Raw genomic sequence first — 19,858 nt, forward strand, 5'->3', positions numbered from 1 at the left:
CATGTGCTGTATCCACTCAGGGTTGAATGGATTAAGGGCGGTGCAAGATGTGCTTTGTTAAACAGATGCTTGAAGGCAGCATGCTCGTTAAGAGTCATCACCACTCCCTAATCTCAAGTACCCAGGGACACAAACACTGCGGAAGGCCGCAGGGTCCTCTGCCTAGGAAAACCAGAGACCTTTGTTCACTTGTTTATCTGCTGACCTTCCCTCCACTATTGTCCTGTGACCCTGCCAAATCCCCCTCTGCGAGAAACACCCAAGAATGATCAATTAAAAAAAAAAAAAAAATTTATCAAACCTGTGGAAAACAGAAAAAAGCAGGGGTTGCAATCCTAGTTGCTGACAAAACAGACTTTAAACCAACAAAGATTAAAAAAAAGACAAGGGCATTACGTAATGGTAACGCATTCAATTAAACCAAAAGAGCTATTATAAATATATATTCCTAATACAGGAACACCCATATTCATAAAGCAAGTTCTTAGAGACCTACAAAGAAACTTAGACTCCCACACAATAATAGTGCAAGACCTTAACACCACTGACAATATTAGACAGATCATTGAGACAGAAAATTTAAAAAGATATTCAGGACCTGAACTCAGGTCTGGATCAAGTGGACTTGATAGATATCTACAGAACCCTCCACCCCAAAACAACAGAATATACATTCTTCTCATTACCACGTGGCATATACTCTAAAATTGATCACATATTTGGAAGTAAAACACTCCTCAGCAAATGCAAAGGACTGAAATAATAACAAACAGTCTCTCAGATCACAGCACAATCAAATTAGAACTCAAGATTAAGAAATTCACTCAAAACCACACAACTACATGGAAGCTGAACAACCTGCTCCTGAATGACTCTTGGGTAAATCATGAAATGAAGGCAGAAATCAAGAAGTTCTTTGAAACTAATGAGAACAAAGAGACAACATACCAGAATATCTGGGACACAGCTAAAGCAATGTTAAGAGGGAAATTTATAACACTAAATGCCCACATGAAAAAGCTAGAAAGATCTGAAATTGACATCCTAACATCGTAGCTAAAAGAACTAGAGAACCAAGAGCAAACAAACTGCAGAAGACAAGAAATAACCAAGCTCAGAGGGAAACCGAAGGAGAAAGAGACATGAAAAAGCCTTAAAAAATCAATGAATCCTGGAGCTGATTTTTTTTTTTTTTTTTTTTTTTGAGACAGAGTCTCACTTTGTTGCCCAGGCTGGAGTGCAGTGGCATGATCTTGGCTCACTGCAAGCTCCGCCTCACGGGTTCATGCCATTCTCCTGCCTCTGCCTCCCAAGTGGGACTACAGGCGCCCACCACCACACCCGGCTAATTTTTTGTATTTTTTAGTATTTTTTAGTAGAGACGGCGGGGGGGGGGGGGTTTCACCATGTTAGCCAGGGTGGTCTCGATCTCCTGACCTCGTGATCCGCCCACCTCGGCCTCCCAAAGTGCTGGGATTACAGGCATGAGCCACCGTGCCCAGCCTGGAGCTGGTTTTTTGAAAAAAAAAAAAAAAATTAATAAAATAGGCTACTAGCTAGACTATAAAGAAGAAAAGAGAGAAGAATCAAATAAACACAATCAGAAATGATAAGGGGGATATCTTCACTGACCTTAAAGAAATACAAACAACGATCAAGAATACTTTAAACAGTTCTATGCACATAAACTAGAAAATCTGGAAGAAATGAATAAAATACTGGACACATACACCCTCTCAAGACTGAATCAGGAAGAAATTAAATCCCTGAATAGACCAATAACAAGTCCTGAAATTGAGGCAGTAATAAGTAGCCTACCAATGAAAAAAAGCCCAGGACCAGACATATTCACAGCTGAATTCCACCAAAAGTACAAAGAAGAGCTGGTACTATTTCTACTGAAAGTATTCAAAAAAATCGAAAAGGAGGGACTCCTCCCTAACTCATTCTATGAGGCCAGCATTGTCCTGATACCAAAACCTGGCAGAGATACAACAAAAAAAGAAATTTCAAGCCAATTTCCTTGATGATCATTGATGCAAAAATCCTCAATAAAATACTGGCAAACTGAATCCAGCAGCACATCAAAAAGGTTATCCACGACAATCAAGTTGGCTTAATCTCCAGGATGCAAGGTTGGTTCAACATATGCAAATCAGTAAATGTGATTAATCACATAAACAGAACTAAAGACAAAAACCACGTGATTATCTCAATATGCAGAAAAGGCCTTCGATAAAATTCAACATCACTTCATGTTAAAAATTCTCAATAAACTAGGTATTGAAGGAACATACCCCAAAATAATAAGAGCCATATATGACAAACTCACAGCCATATCATACTGAATGGGCAAAAGCTGGAAGCACTCCCCTTGAAAACCAGCACAAAACAAGGATGCTCTCTCTCACCACTTCTATTCAACATAGTATTGGAAGTTCTGGCCAGGGAAATCAGGCAAGAGAAAGAAATAAAGGGTATTCAAATAGGAAGAGAGGAAGTCAAATTGTCTTTGGAGATGACATGATCCTATATCTAGAAAACCCCATCATCTTGGCCCAAAAGTTTCTTAAGCTGATAAGCAACTTCAGCAAAGTCTCAGGATACAAAATCAATGTGCAAATATCTCTAGCATTCATATACACCAACAACAGACTAGCAGAGAGCCAAATCATGAATGAACTTCTATTCATAATGGCTATAAAAAGAATGAAATACCTAGGAATACAGCTAACAAGGGAAGTGAAGGTCCTCTTCAAGAACTACAAACCACTGTTCAAAGAAATTAGAGAGGACACAGACAAATGGAAAAACATTCCATGCTCATGGATAGGAAGAATCAATATCATAAAAATGGCCATACTGCCCAAAGTAATTTATAGATTGAATGGCATTCCCATTAAACTACCATCAACATTCTTTACAGAATTAGAAAAAAACTATTTTAAAATTCATATGGAACCAAAACAGAGCCCAAATAGCCAAGACAATCCTAAGCAAAAAGCACAAAGCTGGAAGCATCACACTACCCAACTTCAAACTATACTACTAGGCTGCAGTAACCAAAACAGTATGATACTGGTACAAAAACAGACACATAGACCAATGGAACAGAATAGAGAACCCAGACATAAAGTTGCATACCTACAGCCATCTGAGCTTCAACAAAGTTGACAAAAATAAGCAATGGGGAAAGGACTCCCTATTCAATAAACAGTGCTGGAATAGCCAGCAAGCCATATGCAGAAAATTGAAACTGGACCCCTACCTTTCACTATATACAAATATTAACTCAAGATGGATTAAAGATGTACATGTAAGACCTCAAAGTATAAGAATCCTAGAAGAAAACCTAGAAGACACCATTCTGGACATTGGCCTCAGGAAAGAATATATGATTAAGTTCTTAAAAGCAATTGTGCCAAAAGCAAAACTTGACAAGTGGGACCTAATTAAACTAAAGAGCTTATGCATAGCAAAAGAGACCATCAACAGAGTAAACAGACAACCCACAGAATGGGAGAAAATATTAACAAACTATGCATCTGACAAAGGTCTAATATTTATAATCTATAAGGAACTTAAACAATTAAAAACAACCCCATTAAAAAGTGGGCAAAAGAACAGACACTTCTCAAAAAAAGACATACAAGTGGCCAACAAACATATGAAAAAATGCCCAACATCAGTAATCATCAGGGAAATGCAAATCAATACTATAATGAGATACCATCTTACACCAGTAAGAATGGCTATTATTAAAAACAAAAAATAACATGCTGGGAAGGCTATGTAGAAAAGGGAATGCTTATACACTGCTGGTGGGAATGTAAATTAGTTCAGCCATTATGGAAAGCAGTTTGGCGATTTCTTGGAGAACTTAAAACAGAGCTACTATTCAATTCAGCAATCCCATTACTGAGTGTATATCCAGAAGAAAATAAATCATTCCACCAAAAAGACACACACACTCATATGTTCATTGCAACACTATTCACAATAACAAAGACACAGAATCAGACTAGGTGCCTATCAACAGTGGATTGGATAAAGAAAATGTGGAACATATACCATGGAATTCTATGCAGCTGTAAAAAAGAATAAAATTATGTCCTTCGCAGCAACATAGATGCAGCTGAGGCCATTATCTTAAGCAAATTAACACAGGAACAGAAAACCAAATACCACATGTTCTCACTTATAAGTGGGAGTTAAACACTGGGTACTCATGGACACACAGATGAAAACAATAGATGTTGGGGACTACTAGAGGGAGGAGTAAGTGGGGAGAGAGAGGCAAGGGTTGAAAAACTAACTATTGAGCACTATGCTCAGCACCTTGGTGACAGGATCAATCATACTCCAAACCTCAGCATCATGGAACATACCCAGGTAACAAACCAGCACATGTACCTCCTGAATCTAAAACAACAGATGAAATTATATTTTAAAAAGAACACGAAGCACAACAAATTATTTTGATAGGATATAGACTTTTTGTTTCCCAGGCAGATCCCTAAAAAAGTAAAGAAAAACCCTTCATAATCTCTTATTAGGAATAGACCAATAACCTAAGAAACCTGGTTATTTTAACAGAGAGAAAAAAAAAACTAATCTCTAATTTTATATCAGCACATTTTAAAAATATTTATAAGTAAATCTATTTAATCCTAGCCAGCTTTGACCTTGCAACACAAAATTTCTTTTCCTCAGAACTTCTGCAACTTTCTATATTCATTTAGGTTTCATCTTTTTCTTTTATTTTGGAATAACCGGTCATTTTATTTTAGGACAAAATTACTCTACTTTCACCTAATGGAAACATGCCCTTCATTCTTTTTAAAATCAAAAACACATTCTACTTTTTTGCATACCTTATTGATTGATTGATTGATTGATTGAATTGGGGGTCTCACTACATAGCCCAGGCTGAATGTGAACTCCTGGGCTCAAGTAATCCTCCTGCCTCAGCCTCCCAAGTAGCTGGGACTGCAGGGACCTGTCACAGCATCCGACTGCAGACTTTTAATATAAAAACACATCCTGTTTTTCTCCCATACTTTGAACACAGGGTTTTTACCCTTCACCCTTTTGGTTTCTAATAGTTTCATTTACATATATTGATTTTATATGTATATATGTATGTATATATATATATATATATATATTTTTTTTTTTTTTTTTTTTTTTTTCTGAGACAGAGCCTTGCTCTGTCACCCAGGCTGGAGTGCAGTGGCACGATCTCGGCTCACTGCAACCTCTGCTTCCTGGGTTCAAGCGTTTCTCCTGCCTCAGCCTCCCCAGTAGCTGGGATTACAGGCGCCCGCCACCACTCCTGGCTATTTTTTTTTTTTTTGTATATTTAGTAGAGACGGGGTTTCACCATGTTGGTCAGGCTGGTCTTGAACTCCTGACCTTGTGATCCGCCCGCCTTAGCCTCCCAAAGTGCTGAGATTACAGGCGTGAGTCACAGTGCCCGGCCTTGATTATAATTTTTAATCATTAATAACCTTTCTTTTACAGAGCAACCTAGAAAGTAAACAATATTTGAATCATCTCAATATTAACATCCTGTAGTATACCAGCACATTTTACCAATATACCATCTCATCATTTTTTAGGTGTGTTCTTTTTCGTAATGTAATTTTTGGATGTGACAAAAATAACATATTTATTAATAGAATGAAATAGCCTTTGTCTCTCTACAAAAAGCAGGAAGCCAAAAACTAGAGAAACTTAAACACGCGTAATAGTGTTTCAGTATTTTATCTTATTTGGAAATGATCTAGATAGTCAATGAATATTCATCTTTTAACTTAGTAGAACTTTAAAGTTTCAAATTTCCAAAAAGATTTTGGAACTTATTTTTAAACAGACATATAAAACATAACCATTGTTAAAAAGTCCATTTATAAACTTTTATGTCACTTAATTTACTTGCTTTTAACAATTATGTTTGAATTGTTTGTGAAAATTTCATGAGACATTAAAGCTAGTAATCTTATTTTGTAGATAAATCAGGCAATATTTTAAAAATCATGGAAGTAAGAATATAAAGGTTAAAATAAGTTCTTTCCAATGTTTTCTTCGTTTTTCTTTTTATTGCAGCAGTTGGCATATGTCAAGCAATCTATTTTTATTGTGTATTTTATTGTTAGGTTGAATTTATAATTTTATAATCTTGAACATCTAGTAAAGATAATATAAGTTTACTTGATTAGTAAACCCAGGTAGAATAAGTTGTATGTCTGCAGTACAGTTAATGTTGACAACTCTCAAGACACGCCTGATTTAATTAAACCAACAAACTTAAACTAGCTTTTATTTATGGAACATTATCTCAGATCATATGAACATGAAAAACATTTGGGTTAGTTTCTATATGTCTGAGAGTTTTAAGAATACTTATAATAATAAGCATTTATGTAATAAATGTTTATTATTTGTTTATATTTATAAATTACTTATAAATTTATAAATTTAAAATAGTCATAAATTATTTATAAATTTATAAATATAAGCTATTCATAAATTATAAATTTATAAATATAAACTATTCATAAATTATAAATTTATAAATATAAACTATTCATAAATTATAAATTTATAAATATAAACTATTCATAAATTATAAATTTATAAATATAAAATATTCATAAATTATAAATTTATCAATATAAAATATCCATAAATTATAAATTTATCATAAATTATAAATTTATAAATATAAAATATTCATAAATTATAAATAATTATAAATATTCACAGTTATTTATTATTTATGTAATAAATGCTTAAATAATAAATAAATATTACATATTAATAAATGCTTAAATAAACATTGACGTCAATACTTATTTATATAAGCATTTATGTATTTATAAATGCTTATGTAAATAAATGCTTATATAAAAAAATAAATGCTTATATAAATATTACATAAATATTTATTATTTATGTAATAAATGCTTAAATAATAAATATTACATATTAATAAATGCTTATTATTCTTTAAGCCAGTTCAGTAGAGCTCTTTTACAAATTAATTTTGGCAATCACCATTTGGTGGTAAAAAAATCACCTATACATAACATACATATGTAGATATGAACATACAAATGCAAACAGAGATCTTACAGTTTTCATCTTAAATCTTAGCCATGAGTTAGGTATAAATACAGGAATACAAACTTACTAATTTATATAAACATTGATTCTCACCTTGGCCTTATTCACTTTTTCCTTTCAGTCTGATCTTCCTGTAGGTAACAATAAGACATTTGTTGAGGATGAGAACTTTCTAAAACAATCCTTTCAGATATAAAAATCCAAATCTTCCAAGGTACACCTACTTTAATTATGACTCAAAGCCAATAAGCCTTTTTAGGCTTAACATTAGTTAGCCTTTCTTGGACTACCTATAGAGGCAGAGACATCCCCAAAGAGTGTGCAAAGGATGTGGAACTCCCCAATCAAAGACTGTCCCCATGAGAGCCTAGGAAAGCAGAGACCCTCATTGTTAACAAGGCAAGGAAGGCTGAGACGGCAATGACCCCTGTGGACTGTGACCCCGATTTTAGGATGAGCTTCCCCAAGAGCTTCTGGACTGCTAGCCACAGGCTGGCGCCTGATGGAAGCCTGACCACTTGCGTCCCTATCTGACAGAGACCAGAGAATATTTTTGCTGGTTACAAAGCAAAACTCTTAGGACATGAAACAAGATGAAAGGAGAATCTCTTCTTAGGATTTTCCCCCTGTGACAAATCACACTTTCAAAGGTCAGAGACAAGAAAACGAAGACTCTTTAGGGAGGCTGTGGATCAATGACCAGTGGGTACCCAGAACCAAATTCACAAGTGTTGCAATTAAAATATCTAATTCTTACAAATGTTTTCCTCCTTCCAATCCAAATTTGGAAAGGAAGGGACAAGGAAAAACCTTGGCCTGTGTTGGAAATAAGAGTTCGGAGTCGCAAAGAAAATGAGCACTCAAAGGATTTCTCAGTGAGGCAAATTTACTTCTTTTCTTTTTTTATTATACTTTAAGTTTTAGGGTACATGTGCACAATGTGCAGGTTTGTTACATATGTATACATGTGCCATGTTGGTGTGCTGCAGCCATTAACTCATCATTTAATATTAGGTATATCTCCTAATGCTATCCCTCCCCCCTCCCCCCACCACACAGCAGGCCCCAGTGTGTGATGTTCCCTTTCCCGTGTCCATGTGTTCTCATTGTTCAATTCCCACCTATGAGTGAGAACATGCGGTGTTTGGTTTTTTGTCCTTGTGAGAGTTTGCTGAGAATGATGGTTTCCAGCTTCATCCATGTCCCTACAAAGGACATGAACTCATCATTTTTTATGGCTGCATAGTATTCCACGGTGTATATGTGCCACATTTTCTTAATCCAGTCTATCATTGTTGGACATTTGGGTTGGTTCCAAGTCTTTGCTATTGTGAATAGTGCCACAATAAACATACGTGTGCATGTTTCTTTATAGCAGCATGATTTATAATGCTTTGGGTATATACCCAGTAATGGGATTGCTGGGTCAAATGGTATTTCTAGTTCTAGATCCCTGAGGAATCGCCACACTGACTTCTACAATGGTTGAACTAGTTTACAGCCCCACCAACAGTGTGAAAGTGTTCCTATTTCTCCACATCCTCTCCAGCACCTGTTGTTTCCTGACTTTTTAATGATCACTATTCTAACTGGTGTGAGATGGTATCTCATTGTGGTTTTGATCTGCATTTCTCTGATGGCCAGAGATGATGAGCATTTTTTCATGTGTCTTTTGGCTGTGTAAATGTTTCCTTTTGAGAAGTGTCTGCTCATATCCTTCGCCCACTTGTTGATGGGGTTGTTTGTTTTTTTCTTGTAAATTTGTTTGAGTTCATTGTAGATTCTGGATATTAGCCCTTTGTCAGATGAGTAGATTGCAAAAATTTTCTCCCATTCTATAGGTTGCCTGTTCACTCTGATGGTAGTTTCTTTTGCTGTGCAGAAGCTCTTTAGTTTAATTAGATCCCATTTGTCAACTTTGGCTTTTGTTGCCATTGCTTGGTGTTTTAGACATGAAGTCCTTGCCCATGCCTATGTCCTGAATGGTATTGCCTAGGTTTTCTTCTAGGGTTTTTATGGTTTTAGGTCTAACATTTAGTCTTTAATCCATCTTGAATTAATTTTTGTATAAGGTGTAAGGAAGGGATCCAGTTTCAGCTTTCTACATATGACTAGCCAGTTTTTCCAGCACCATTTATTAAATAAGGAATCCTTTCCCCATTTCTTGTTTCTGTCAGGTTTGTCAAAGATCAGATAGTTGTAGATATGTGGCATTATTTCTGAGGGTTCTGTTCTGTTCCATTGGTCTATATATCTGTTTTGGTACCAGTACCATGCTGTTTTGGTTACTGTAGCCTTGTAGTATAGTTTGAAGTCAGGTCGCGAGATGCCTCCATCTTTGTCCTTTTGGCTTAGGATTGACTTGGCAATGTGGGCTCTTTTTTGGTTCCATATGCACTTTAAAGTAGTTTTTTCCAATTCTGTGAAAAAAGTCATTGGTAGCTTGATGGGGATGGCATTGAATCTATAAATTACCTTGGGCAGTATGGGCATTTTCACAATATTGATTCTTCCTGCCCATGAACATGGAATGTTCTTCCATTTGTTTGTATCCTCTTTTATTTCATTGTGCAGTGGTTTGTAGTTCTCCTTGAAGAGGTCCTTCACGTCCCTTGTAAGTTGCATTCCTAGGTATTTTATTCTCTTTCAAGCAATTGTGAATGGGAGTTCACTCATGATTTGGCTATCTGTCTGTTATTGGTGTATAAGAATGCTTGTGATTTTTGCACATTGATTTTGTATCCTGAGACTTTGCTGAAGTTGCTTATCAGCTTAAGGAGATTTTGGGCTGAGACGATGGGATTTTCTAGATATACAATCATGTCATCTGCAAACAGGGACAGTCTGACTTCCTCTTTTCCTAATTGAATACCCTTTATTTCTTTCTCCTGCCTGATTGCCCTGGCCAGAACTTCCAACACTATGTTGAATAGGAGTGGTGAGAAAGGGCATCTCTGTCTTGTGCCAGTTTTCAAAGGGAATGCTTCCAGTTTTTGCCCATTCAGTATGATATTGGCTGTGGTTTTGTCATAGATAGCTCTTATTATTTTGAGATACGTCCCATCAATACCTAATTTATTGAGAGTTTTTAGCATGAAGCGTTGTTGAATTTTGTCAAAGGTCTTTTCTGCATCTATTGAGATAATCATGTGGTTTTTGTTGTTGGTTCTGTTTATATGCTGGATTACGTTTATTGATTTGCATATGTTGAACCAGGCTTGCATCCCAGGGATGAAGCCCACTTGATCATGGTGGATAAGCTTTTTGATATGCTGCTGGATTCAGTTTGCCAGTATTTTATTGAGGATTTTTGCGTCGATGTTCATCAGGGATATTGGTCTAAAATTCTCTTTTTTTGTTGTGTCTCTGCCAGGCTTTAGTATCAGGATGATGCTGGCCTCATAAAATGTGTTAGGGAGGATTCCCTCTTTTTCTATTGATTGGAATAGTTTCAGAAGGAATGGTACCAGCTCCTCCTTGTACCTCTGGTAGAATTCGGCTGTGAATCCATCTGGTCCTGGACTTTTTTTGGTTGGTAAGCTATTAATTATTGCCTCAATTTCAGAGCCTGTTGTTGGTCTATTCAGAGATTCAACTTCTTCCTGGTTTAGACTTGGGAGGGTGTATGTGTCGAAGAATGTATCCATTTCTTCTAGATTTTCTAGTTTATTTGCATAGAGGTGTTTATAGTATTCTCTGATGGTGGTTTGTATTTCTGTGGGATCGGTGGTGATATCCCCTTTATCATTTTGTATTGCATCTATTTGATTCTTCTCTTTCTTCTTTATTAGTCTTGCTAGCGGTCTATCAATTTTGTTGATCTTTTCAGAAAACCAGCTCCTGGATTCATGGATTTTTTGAAGGGTTTTTTGTGTCTCTATATCCTTCAGTTCTGCTCTGATCTTAGTTATTTCTTGCCTTCTGCTAGCTTTTGAATGTGTTTGCTCTTGCTTCTCTAGTTCTTTTAATTATGATGTTAGGGTGTCAATTTTAGATCTTTCCTGCTTTCTCTTGTGGGCATTTAGTGCTATAAATTTCCCTCTACACACTGCTTTGAATGTGTCCCATAGATTCTGGTATGTTGTGTCTTTGTTCTCGTTGGTTTCAAAGAACATCTTTATTTCTGCCTTCATTTCGTTACATACCCAGTAGTCATTCAGGAGCAGGTTGTTCAGTTTCCATGTAGTTGAGCAGTTTTGAGTGAGTTTATTAATCCTGACTTCTAGTTTGATTGCACTGTGGTCTGAGAGAAAGTTTGTTATAATTTCTGTTCTTTTACATTTGCTGAGGAGTGCTTTACTTCCAACTATGTGGTCAATTTTGGAATAGGTGTGGTGTGGTGCTGAAAAGAATGTATATTCTGTTGATTTGGGGTGGAGAGTTCTGCAGATGTCTATTAGGTCTGCTTGGTGCAGAGCTGAGTTCAATTCCTGGATATCCTTGTTAACTTTCTGTCTCATTGATCTGTCTAATGTTGACAGTGGGGTGTTAAAGTCTCCCATTATTATTGTGTGGGAGTCTAAGTCTCTTTGTAGGTCTCTAAGGACTTGCTTTATGAATCCAGGTGCTCCTGTATTGGGTGCATATATATTTAGGATAGTTAGCTCTTCTTGTTGAATTGATCCCTTTACCATTATGTAATGGCCTCCTTTGTCTCTTTTGATCTTTGTTGGTTTAAAGTCTTTTTTATCAGAGACTAGGATTGCAACCCCTGCCTTTTTTTGTTTGCCATTTGCTTGGTAGCTCTTCCTCCATCCCTTTATTTTGAGCCTATGTGTGTCTCTGCACTTGAGATTGGTTTCCTGAATACAGCACGCTGATGGGTCTTGACTCTTTATCCAATTTGCCAGTCTGTGTCTTTTAATTGGAGCATTTATCATTTAAGGTTAATATTGTTATGTGTGAATTTGATCCTGTCATTATGATGTTAGCTGGTTATTTTGCTCATTAGTTGATGCAGTTTCTTCCTAGCCTTGATGGTCTTTACAATTTGGGATGTTTTTGCAGTGGCTGGTACTGGTTGTTCCTTTCCATGTTTAGTGCTTCCTTCAGGAGCTCTTTTAGGGCAGGCCTGGTGATGACAAAATCTCTCAGCATTTGCTTGTCTGTAAAGGATTTTATTTCTCCTTCACTTATGAAGCTTAGTTTGGCTGGGTATGAAATTCTGGGTTGAAAATTCTTTTCTTTAAGAATGTTGAATATTGGCCCCCACTCTTTTCTGGCTTGTAGAGTTTCTGCCGAGAGATCAGCTCTTAGTCTGATGGGCTTCCCTTTGTGGGTAACCCGACTTTTCTCTCTGGCTGCCCTTAACATTTTTTCCTTCATTTCAACTTTGGTGAATCTGACAATTATGTGTCTTGGAGTTGCTCTTCTTGAGGAGTATCTTTGTCGTGTTCTCTGTATTTCTTGAATTTGAATGTTGGCCTGCCTTGCTAGACTGGGGAAGTTCTCCTGGATAATATCCTGCAGAGTGTTTTCCAACTTGGTTCCATTCTCCCTGTCACTTTCAGATACACCAATCAGACATAGATTTGGTCTTTTCACATAGTCCCATATTTCTTGGAGGCTTTGTTCATTTCTTTTTATTATTTTTTCTCTAAACCTTCTCTTCTCGCTTCATTTCATTCATTTTATCTTCCATCACTGATACCCTTTCTTCCAGTTGATGGAATTGGCTACTGAGGCTTGTGCATTCATCATGTAGTTCTTGTGCCGTGGTTTTCAGCTCCATCAGGTCCTTTAAGGACTTCTCTGCATTGGTTATTCTAGTTAGCCATTCGTCTAATCTTTTTTCAAGGTTTTTAACTTCTTTGCCATGGGTTTGAACTTCCTCCTTTAGCTCAGAGTAGTTTGATCATCTGAAGCCTTCTTCTCTCAATTTGTCAAAGTCATTCTGTGACCAGCTTTGTTCCATTGCTGGTGAGGGGCTGCATTCCTTTGGAGGAGGAGAGGCGCTCTGATTTTAGAATTTTCAGTTTTTCTGCTGTTTTTTCCCCATATTTGTGGTTTTATCTACCTTTGGTCTTTGATGATGGTGACGTACAGATGGGGTTTTGGTGTGGATGTCTTTTCTGTTTGTTAGTTTTCCTTCTAACAGTCAGGACCCTCAGCTGCAGGTCTGTTGGAGTTTGCTGGAGGTCTACTCCAGACCCTGTTTGCCTGAGTATCAGCAGTGGAGGCTGCAGAACAGCAGATAGTGGTAAACAGCAAATGTTGCTGCCTGATCATTCCTCTGGACGTTTTGTCTCAGAGGAGTACCCGGCCATGTGAGGTGTCATTCTGCCCCTACTGGGGGGTGACTCCCAGTTAGGCTACTCGGGGGTCACGGACCCACTTGAGGAGGCAGTCTGTGCATTCTCGGATCTCCAGCTGCATGCTGGGAGAACCACTGCTCTCTTCAAAGCTGTCAGACAGGGACATTTAAGTGCAGAGGTTTCTGCTGCCTTTTGTTTGGCTATGCCCTGCCCCTAGAGATGGAGTCTACAGAGGCAGGCAGGCCTCCTTGAGCTGTGGTGGGCTCCACCTAGTTCGAGCTTCCCTGCTGCTTTGTTTACCTACTCAAGCCTCGGCAGTGGCGGGCGCCCCTCCCCCAGCCTCACTACCACCTTGCAGTTTTATCTCAGACTGCTGTGCTAGCAATGAGCGAGGCTCCGTGGGCGTAGGACCCTCCAAGCCATGCACGGGATATAATCTCCTGGTGTGCCATTTGCTAAGACCATTGGAAAAGCGCAGTATTAGGGTGGGAGTGACCCTATTTTCCAGGTGCCGTCTGTCACCCCTTTCCTTGGCTAGGAAAGGGAATTCCCTGACCCCTTGCGCTTCCCGGGTGAGGTGATGCCTCGCCCTGCTTTGGCTCACGCTCGGTGTGCTGCACCCACTCTCCTGCACCCACTGTCCAACAATCCCCAGTGAGATGAACCTGGTACCTCAGTTGGAAATGCAGAAATCACCCATCTTCTGCGTCGCTCACGCTGGGAGCTGTAGACTGGAGCTGTTCCTATTTGGCCATCTTGGCTCCACTCGAGGCAAATTTACTTCTGCAGAAGGGTGCTGCTCACTCTTGTCACTGTGAGAGCACACCAAACAAAGGAGGGAAGGGGTTTTTATCCCTAATGCAGTCAGTCCCTGCTACTGTTGTCCAGTCCCCACTGCCTGGAGTTGGATGGCACAATCTAAGCTGATCCTGATTGGCTACTTCTAATGGAGCAAGGGTTGGGGGCTACAGCAGCAGGAAGAGCAGTTTTGAAACTAAGGGTGCCAAATAAGGAACAGATGTGGATTGTTATAAATTGGGAATGGACGTGGGTTACAGATTGGGAACAGATGTGGGTTACAGATTGGCAATGGCTGGAAGGTTGTTTACCATAACTAGGGGCAAGGAGGCAAAGAAGTTAGGCTTTGAAAATAGAGGACAAAGAACGAGGGAGTTGAAAAAGTGGAACCTTTGAAGAGGAATTCACTGTATCCAACACCTGGATCCCTTGACTAGGCACAACAGACACAATGCCTGACTCCGTAAGAATTCCTACCTCTCCCAGGGCCCCGTCCATAGGTTCTAGAGCAAATGGGGCATCTTAACCTTTTAGGGTCCCATCCTCATCACCAGAAACTGTAGGGAGGGCAAACCTTTTCCTCCACCTGTTAGGATTTCTGCTGGGCCTGAGAATGAGATTGACATCAGACAGATTAACAGGAGAAAAACAAACACATTTATGTAAGTTTTACATAACATGGGAATTCTCATAAGGGATCAAAGGCGGAAAGAAATGGCAAGAACTGCCTGCATGTGTATCAGGTTAGACAAGGAGAAGCGATTGCAGAGAATAACTGGATATGTGGCGAGGTGCAAGGGAGAGAATTACTTTAACAAGGTCTGTTTGCAGGGAATTCTCTTGGCGACAACTCCCCATTGAAGAATGTTCCTTTCTTCTGGAGAAAGGAGGGCACCTTTCACGTGGGAGTTTTTGTCTCCTGTTTTCCGGGAAAGAAGGAAGATCAGAGTGCCCTCGTTGCATCTGCTGTTTTCAAGTTGCCTTAGCTTGAGGTAATCCTTATGTCAAAGTGGCCTATTTTGGGGTTGAATGTTCTGCCACTCTTCACTGGGATTGGAGTGTGTATGTGTGTATTTGGGGGAGATTGGAGGCTTGAGTTTGGCGGCTCTGACAAGACCCCAGAGATCCAGGCAGATGGAGGCACCACCATCTTATTACATCACCATCTCAGCATGCTGCTTCAGGGTCTCCCCCATGGAGAAGAAAGCCAGGTGACCTCACACCTACTTTGCTGTGCTTCAGCCAAGAAGTAACCCACTTGATTTTAACTTACAGCCTGCTCATCAGAATTAGCCACATGTCCCTGAGCCAACTACAATGGAGCCTGGAATATGCAATCTTCCCCAGCATCTGGGAGAGGAAAGTGAACATGGAGCATTGTCTTGGCTGTGGTGGCCAACAAACATTGGGACAGAACTTGATTGTAGGGGCACCAGTGGGAGGCGAGTGTTATGATCCGATGGCTTCACTTGTGATCTATTCTTCATGATAATATAGGCTAAACCTGAGCCCTGGGCTCCAGGACAGGCAGTCTGCTGCCTTTGACTAATTTTTAAGTGCAGAGGTGCTGGGCTTCTCTGTAGAGGAGCAGCACTGCTGAATCACAGTGATTTTCCTGGAGAGAGAGTCCTAGGAGGGGATTCCAGCTGTTCCCCACCCCACCTGAAGCAAAGGCTATTATTCCCACAGGAGTGCTCCTGGGGAGCCTGACACCACCAGGGAGGAGCCGCACTTAACCCTGGGGCTTCTTGTCAGAGCTTTGGTTAGGTGAAACCTGGATCCTGGAGGTGCCCTGGGAAGCTTCTGTCTCCAAGATTCACACCCAGGTCCGGCTGCTGCGTGGCTCCCAACATATCACAGAACCAAGGCTCCTTTTTCCAGCTGGCCCATGTCTGAGTTTCTGCTTTATGCTTCTGGTGCTTCTCCCAGCAGCCTGCTGCCTGTTGCAACATGTGCTCACATGCCACACTTCATTTCTGCATCTGTACTCACCAGCTCATCTAGTTCCTCCTGGGCGCCAAACACACACCCACCCTTTTTTGCTGACCTTCTGTCCCTTCCTGGGTTTGCCACCTCCTTGCTTCACACTGACTTTGAAACAGTGTCTGGCCTCCGTGTTACCCGCCTTCTCCCTGATCTAGCCTAGATCCTGAATGCCAGCCATCCCCCTCAGCTCTTCCTCCTGGGCTCCATTCTGCTGACACTCATAATTCCTTCTTTGTCTCCCCTTCTTATCAAAGGCCCAATCTTCATTTGGGGGCACTGCCTCCCTCACCAAAGTGCATTCCTGGACATCCTAGAGCAGCCTACTTCACCAGGTTGTAATTTACACCACAGGTCCCCCTAGGACATTGCCAGTCTCCATGGAAACCTTGACAACAAAGCCAGTCTCCTGGGTTCTCATCCTCTCTCCCTCTGGGGACAAGAAGACTGACTGCAAGAGTAAAGGGCCCATTTCTGTCTCCCTGGGCCCAGGCAAACTGCTGCCTCTGCCTCTGCTGTCTTGGGCCCTGCCTCATCTGCAAGAATGCTGCTCAGGAAGTGCCTGCTTCCTGCATGATGGGAGGTGGGATCACCAGCAGCTGATTGGTGAAGCCGGGGGTCAATCTCAGAGGTCAGCAAGGCCAAACCCCGCTTTGGCACATGGAAGACTGGAGTCCTCAGTGGCTCATGAATCCCAAATGAGAAGGTGAGGGCGGCCTGCAGCCCAGGTGGTTCTCTCTTAGTGTGCAGTGTCCTCTAGGCATCCCTCCAACAGTGACCTGCAAAGGGTTGTGTACATGGAGAGGGCTCACATTCCAGCCCCAGACAGAACCCCATATGATGTTATCATCAGGCTACAAGTTTGAGTTTTCAGTGCCAGGATCTGAGACAGGAGGAGACTCATGACAACCCAGAAGAGGGAGGCCCTGCAGGCAGGCAGAGCCCAGAGAGATTCCCCACCACGGACACCTGTGAGGGCATCAGGAGGAACGTGATGACTGACATTCCTTCCTCTGTGGCACTTACCTTCCTTACCTCCAACCATTTGTCAAAGACCCTTACACAATTCTTTTTTTTTTTTTTTGAGACACGGTTTTGCTCTTTTTGCCCAGGCTGCAGTGCAATGGGGTTATCTCAGCCCACTGCAACCTTCGCCCCCTGGGTTCAAGTGATTCTCCTGCCTCAGCCTCTTGAGTAGCTGGGATTACAGGCACCCGCCACCATGCCCAACTAATTTTTATAGTTTTAGTAGAGACGGGGTTTCACCATGTTGACCAGGTTGGTCTCGAACTCCTGACCTCAGGTGATTTGCCTGCCTCAGCCTCCCAAAGTGCTGGGATTACAGGCGTGAGCCACCACGACTGGCCTCCACAATTCTTTTAGTGGAGATTCAAGGACAAAGGACAGGGACTGGCTCCCAGATTCCAGGTTGTGACCAGTAGCAAAGTGAGCAAAGGGACACTACAGAATCCTCTACTGTGCTGAGGTCTTCGATAGAGGAAGTTGCCTTGCAAGGAGGTGGGAGGGATGCTGTGGGATGGGCTGAGCCATCTAGTTGAATATGAAAGGAGAGGGCCTGGGGACCTCCAGGCAGAAGTCCCGGGAGTTCCTCATTTGCGACTGGTCATGCATCAAGTTCCAGGGCCAAGGCTGGTAGGAATGGGCCCCGTGCAGGCATTGGGGGCTCCCCTTCTCCTTCAGAGCTACATGGAGGTGTGGTGCCAGTCAGTGCACGCTCTAACGTATTTAAGTACCAGCAGAGTAAAACAAGAATGAAAGGGAAAAGAGAAGACATGAATTATTTCGTTTACGCTTGACAAGTACAGGATCCTATTTTAATACAACACAACTTATGGATATGTATTTTTATTTTCTTCAGTACTATGTCATTTGCTTCTAAAATACTTTTACTAATTGGGGACTAGGAGAGTAAAACTTAAATGTATTAGGCAGCAAGAATGCAAGTGAGGGAGAAGTGAGGGAGAACAGCCACACTTTCTGAGCTGTGCTCTGACAGGGAGAATTTGCTTGGTACACTCAGAACAAAATGCATCTACAGTCAGATAACCTCGAGACACAGAGGATGGCATTGAAGGCTTCATCCACACAGTGTCTACACTCCCTTCTCCCTGAGCCACAGAGCTGTGTCTTTATTCCAGGCAGCAGAGTGCCCGGCCGAAAGTTCATGTTTCCCACCCTACCTGTAGCTATGTGTGGCCTTATGACCAAGTTCTGACTAATAAGATGTGAGTTCAAGGTCTGGGGATGACCTCTGGGAAGGCTGTTTAAAGGAAGTTGAGACCAGGAGGGATACACCTCCTCTCAGCCATCTCTGAGCCTGGGATGTGGAAGGGATGACTAGACCTTCTGCAGCCATTTTGTTCCTTGAAGTAACCACAAGGTTAGAGACTGCCTTAGGATGATAGAGTAGAAAGAGAGAAGGAGCAGGGGTTGTTGACATTTATGGTGCTGCCGGGACAGCCCTAGATTTTCAACCTCCAGTCTCATTTTATGTGAGAGGAAATATATTTCGGCTTAGGTTTCCCCACTGTTATTTGGAGTTTTCTGACGTATTCAACTGAACCTAATCCAAGAGATACTTGACACAGAAATCCCCCTTCTGGGAGACTCAGAAGTTATAGTAGCAAATAAAGACAATAAGGAGCTTTATAATCAACAAACCTATTATAGGCAGAATTCTAAAGATGTCCCTGGAGGACTCCTGTCCCTTGGCTATTCAATCAAATGTCATTCAAGGTATGGCTGTGACACGACTTTGCAGATGTAATTATGGTTACTAACCAGCAGACTTTAAGGTAGGGGATCATCCTGAAATATGTAATTGGTTCCAGTGTGAGTCATTAAATACAGATTAGGAAGCAGATGAGTCAGTCAGAGAGATAAGGCAGAAAAGATGAGAGAATATGGCAGATTCAGGAGTCAGAGAGATTCCAAAGGTGAGGAGGATTGGATGCACCCATGGCTAACAGCCAGCAAGGAAACAGGGGCCTCAGTCCTACAGCTACAAGGACCTGGATACTTCCAACAGCCTAGATTCTACCACAGAGCCTCCAGATCAGAGCCCAAGCCATCAACCCACACCTTGATTTTAGTCTTGTGAGACTCAGAGCAGAGGAACCAGCCGAGCTACCCAACTTCCTACCTACAGAACAATTAGATCATACATTTGCATGGCTTGAAGCCACTAAGCTTGTGGGGATTTCTTTCAGAAATAATAGAAAATGAATACAGAAACCTGATCACTTTCACATAAAATATTAAATTTTTGGCAAAATAACACATACATTTGGTAAAAAATAAAACAGTACAAAAAGAACTATACTGCAAAATCAGCAAAACCCTGCCCTGCCCTTGCTGCCTGCAATCCAACTTTCTTCTCTTAATTATTTTTTCTGATATTACCTCCATATCTCTAAAAAATGTTGCTGTATCTAGATTTGTGAACACAGACATTGCGTATTAACTTTCTATTATGAGAGAATCAAATGTAGCTCCTTCATCCTTTTTCATCACACTACAATTGCTTTAATATGTTTGTTTTTATTTTTTGTTTCTTTGGTTTTTTTTTTTTTTTTTTTTTTTTTTTTGAGAAAGTCTCGCTCTGTTGCCCAGGCTGGGGTGTAGTGGTGCCATCTTGGCTCACCGCAACCTCTGCCTCCCAGGTTCAAGCGATT

The 19,858-nt window shown here is 40.6% G+C and overlaps 1 protein-coding gene across 1 annotated transcript in view; it reads left to right on the top strand.

Moving 5' to 3' along the window:
• The window catches only part of ZNF892 (zinc finger protein 892), a 57,232-nt gene extending 37,710 nt beyond the window's left edge, over nucleotides 1-19,522 (top strand). Inside the window, exon 6 of the transcript XR_007073288.1 lies at nucleotides 15,012-19,522. The gene's annotated coding sequence lies outside the window, so the exon portion shown is untranslated. The remainder of the gene's footprint in view (nucleotides 1-15,011) is intronic.
• Nucleotides 19,523-19,858: the final 336 nt, after the last annotated feature.

This window comes from Homo sapiens, chromosome 2 (assembly GCF_000001405.40).
Source record: "Homo sapiens chromosome 2, GRCh38.p14 Primary Assembly".
Lineage (NCBI taxonomy): Eukaryota > Metazoa > Chordata > Mammalia > Primates > Hominidae > Homo > Homo sapiens.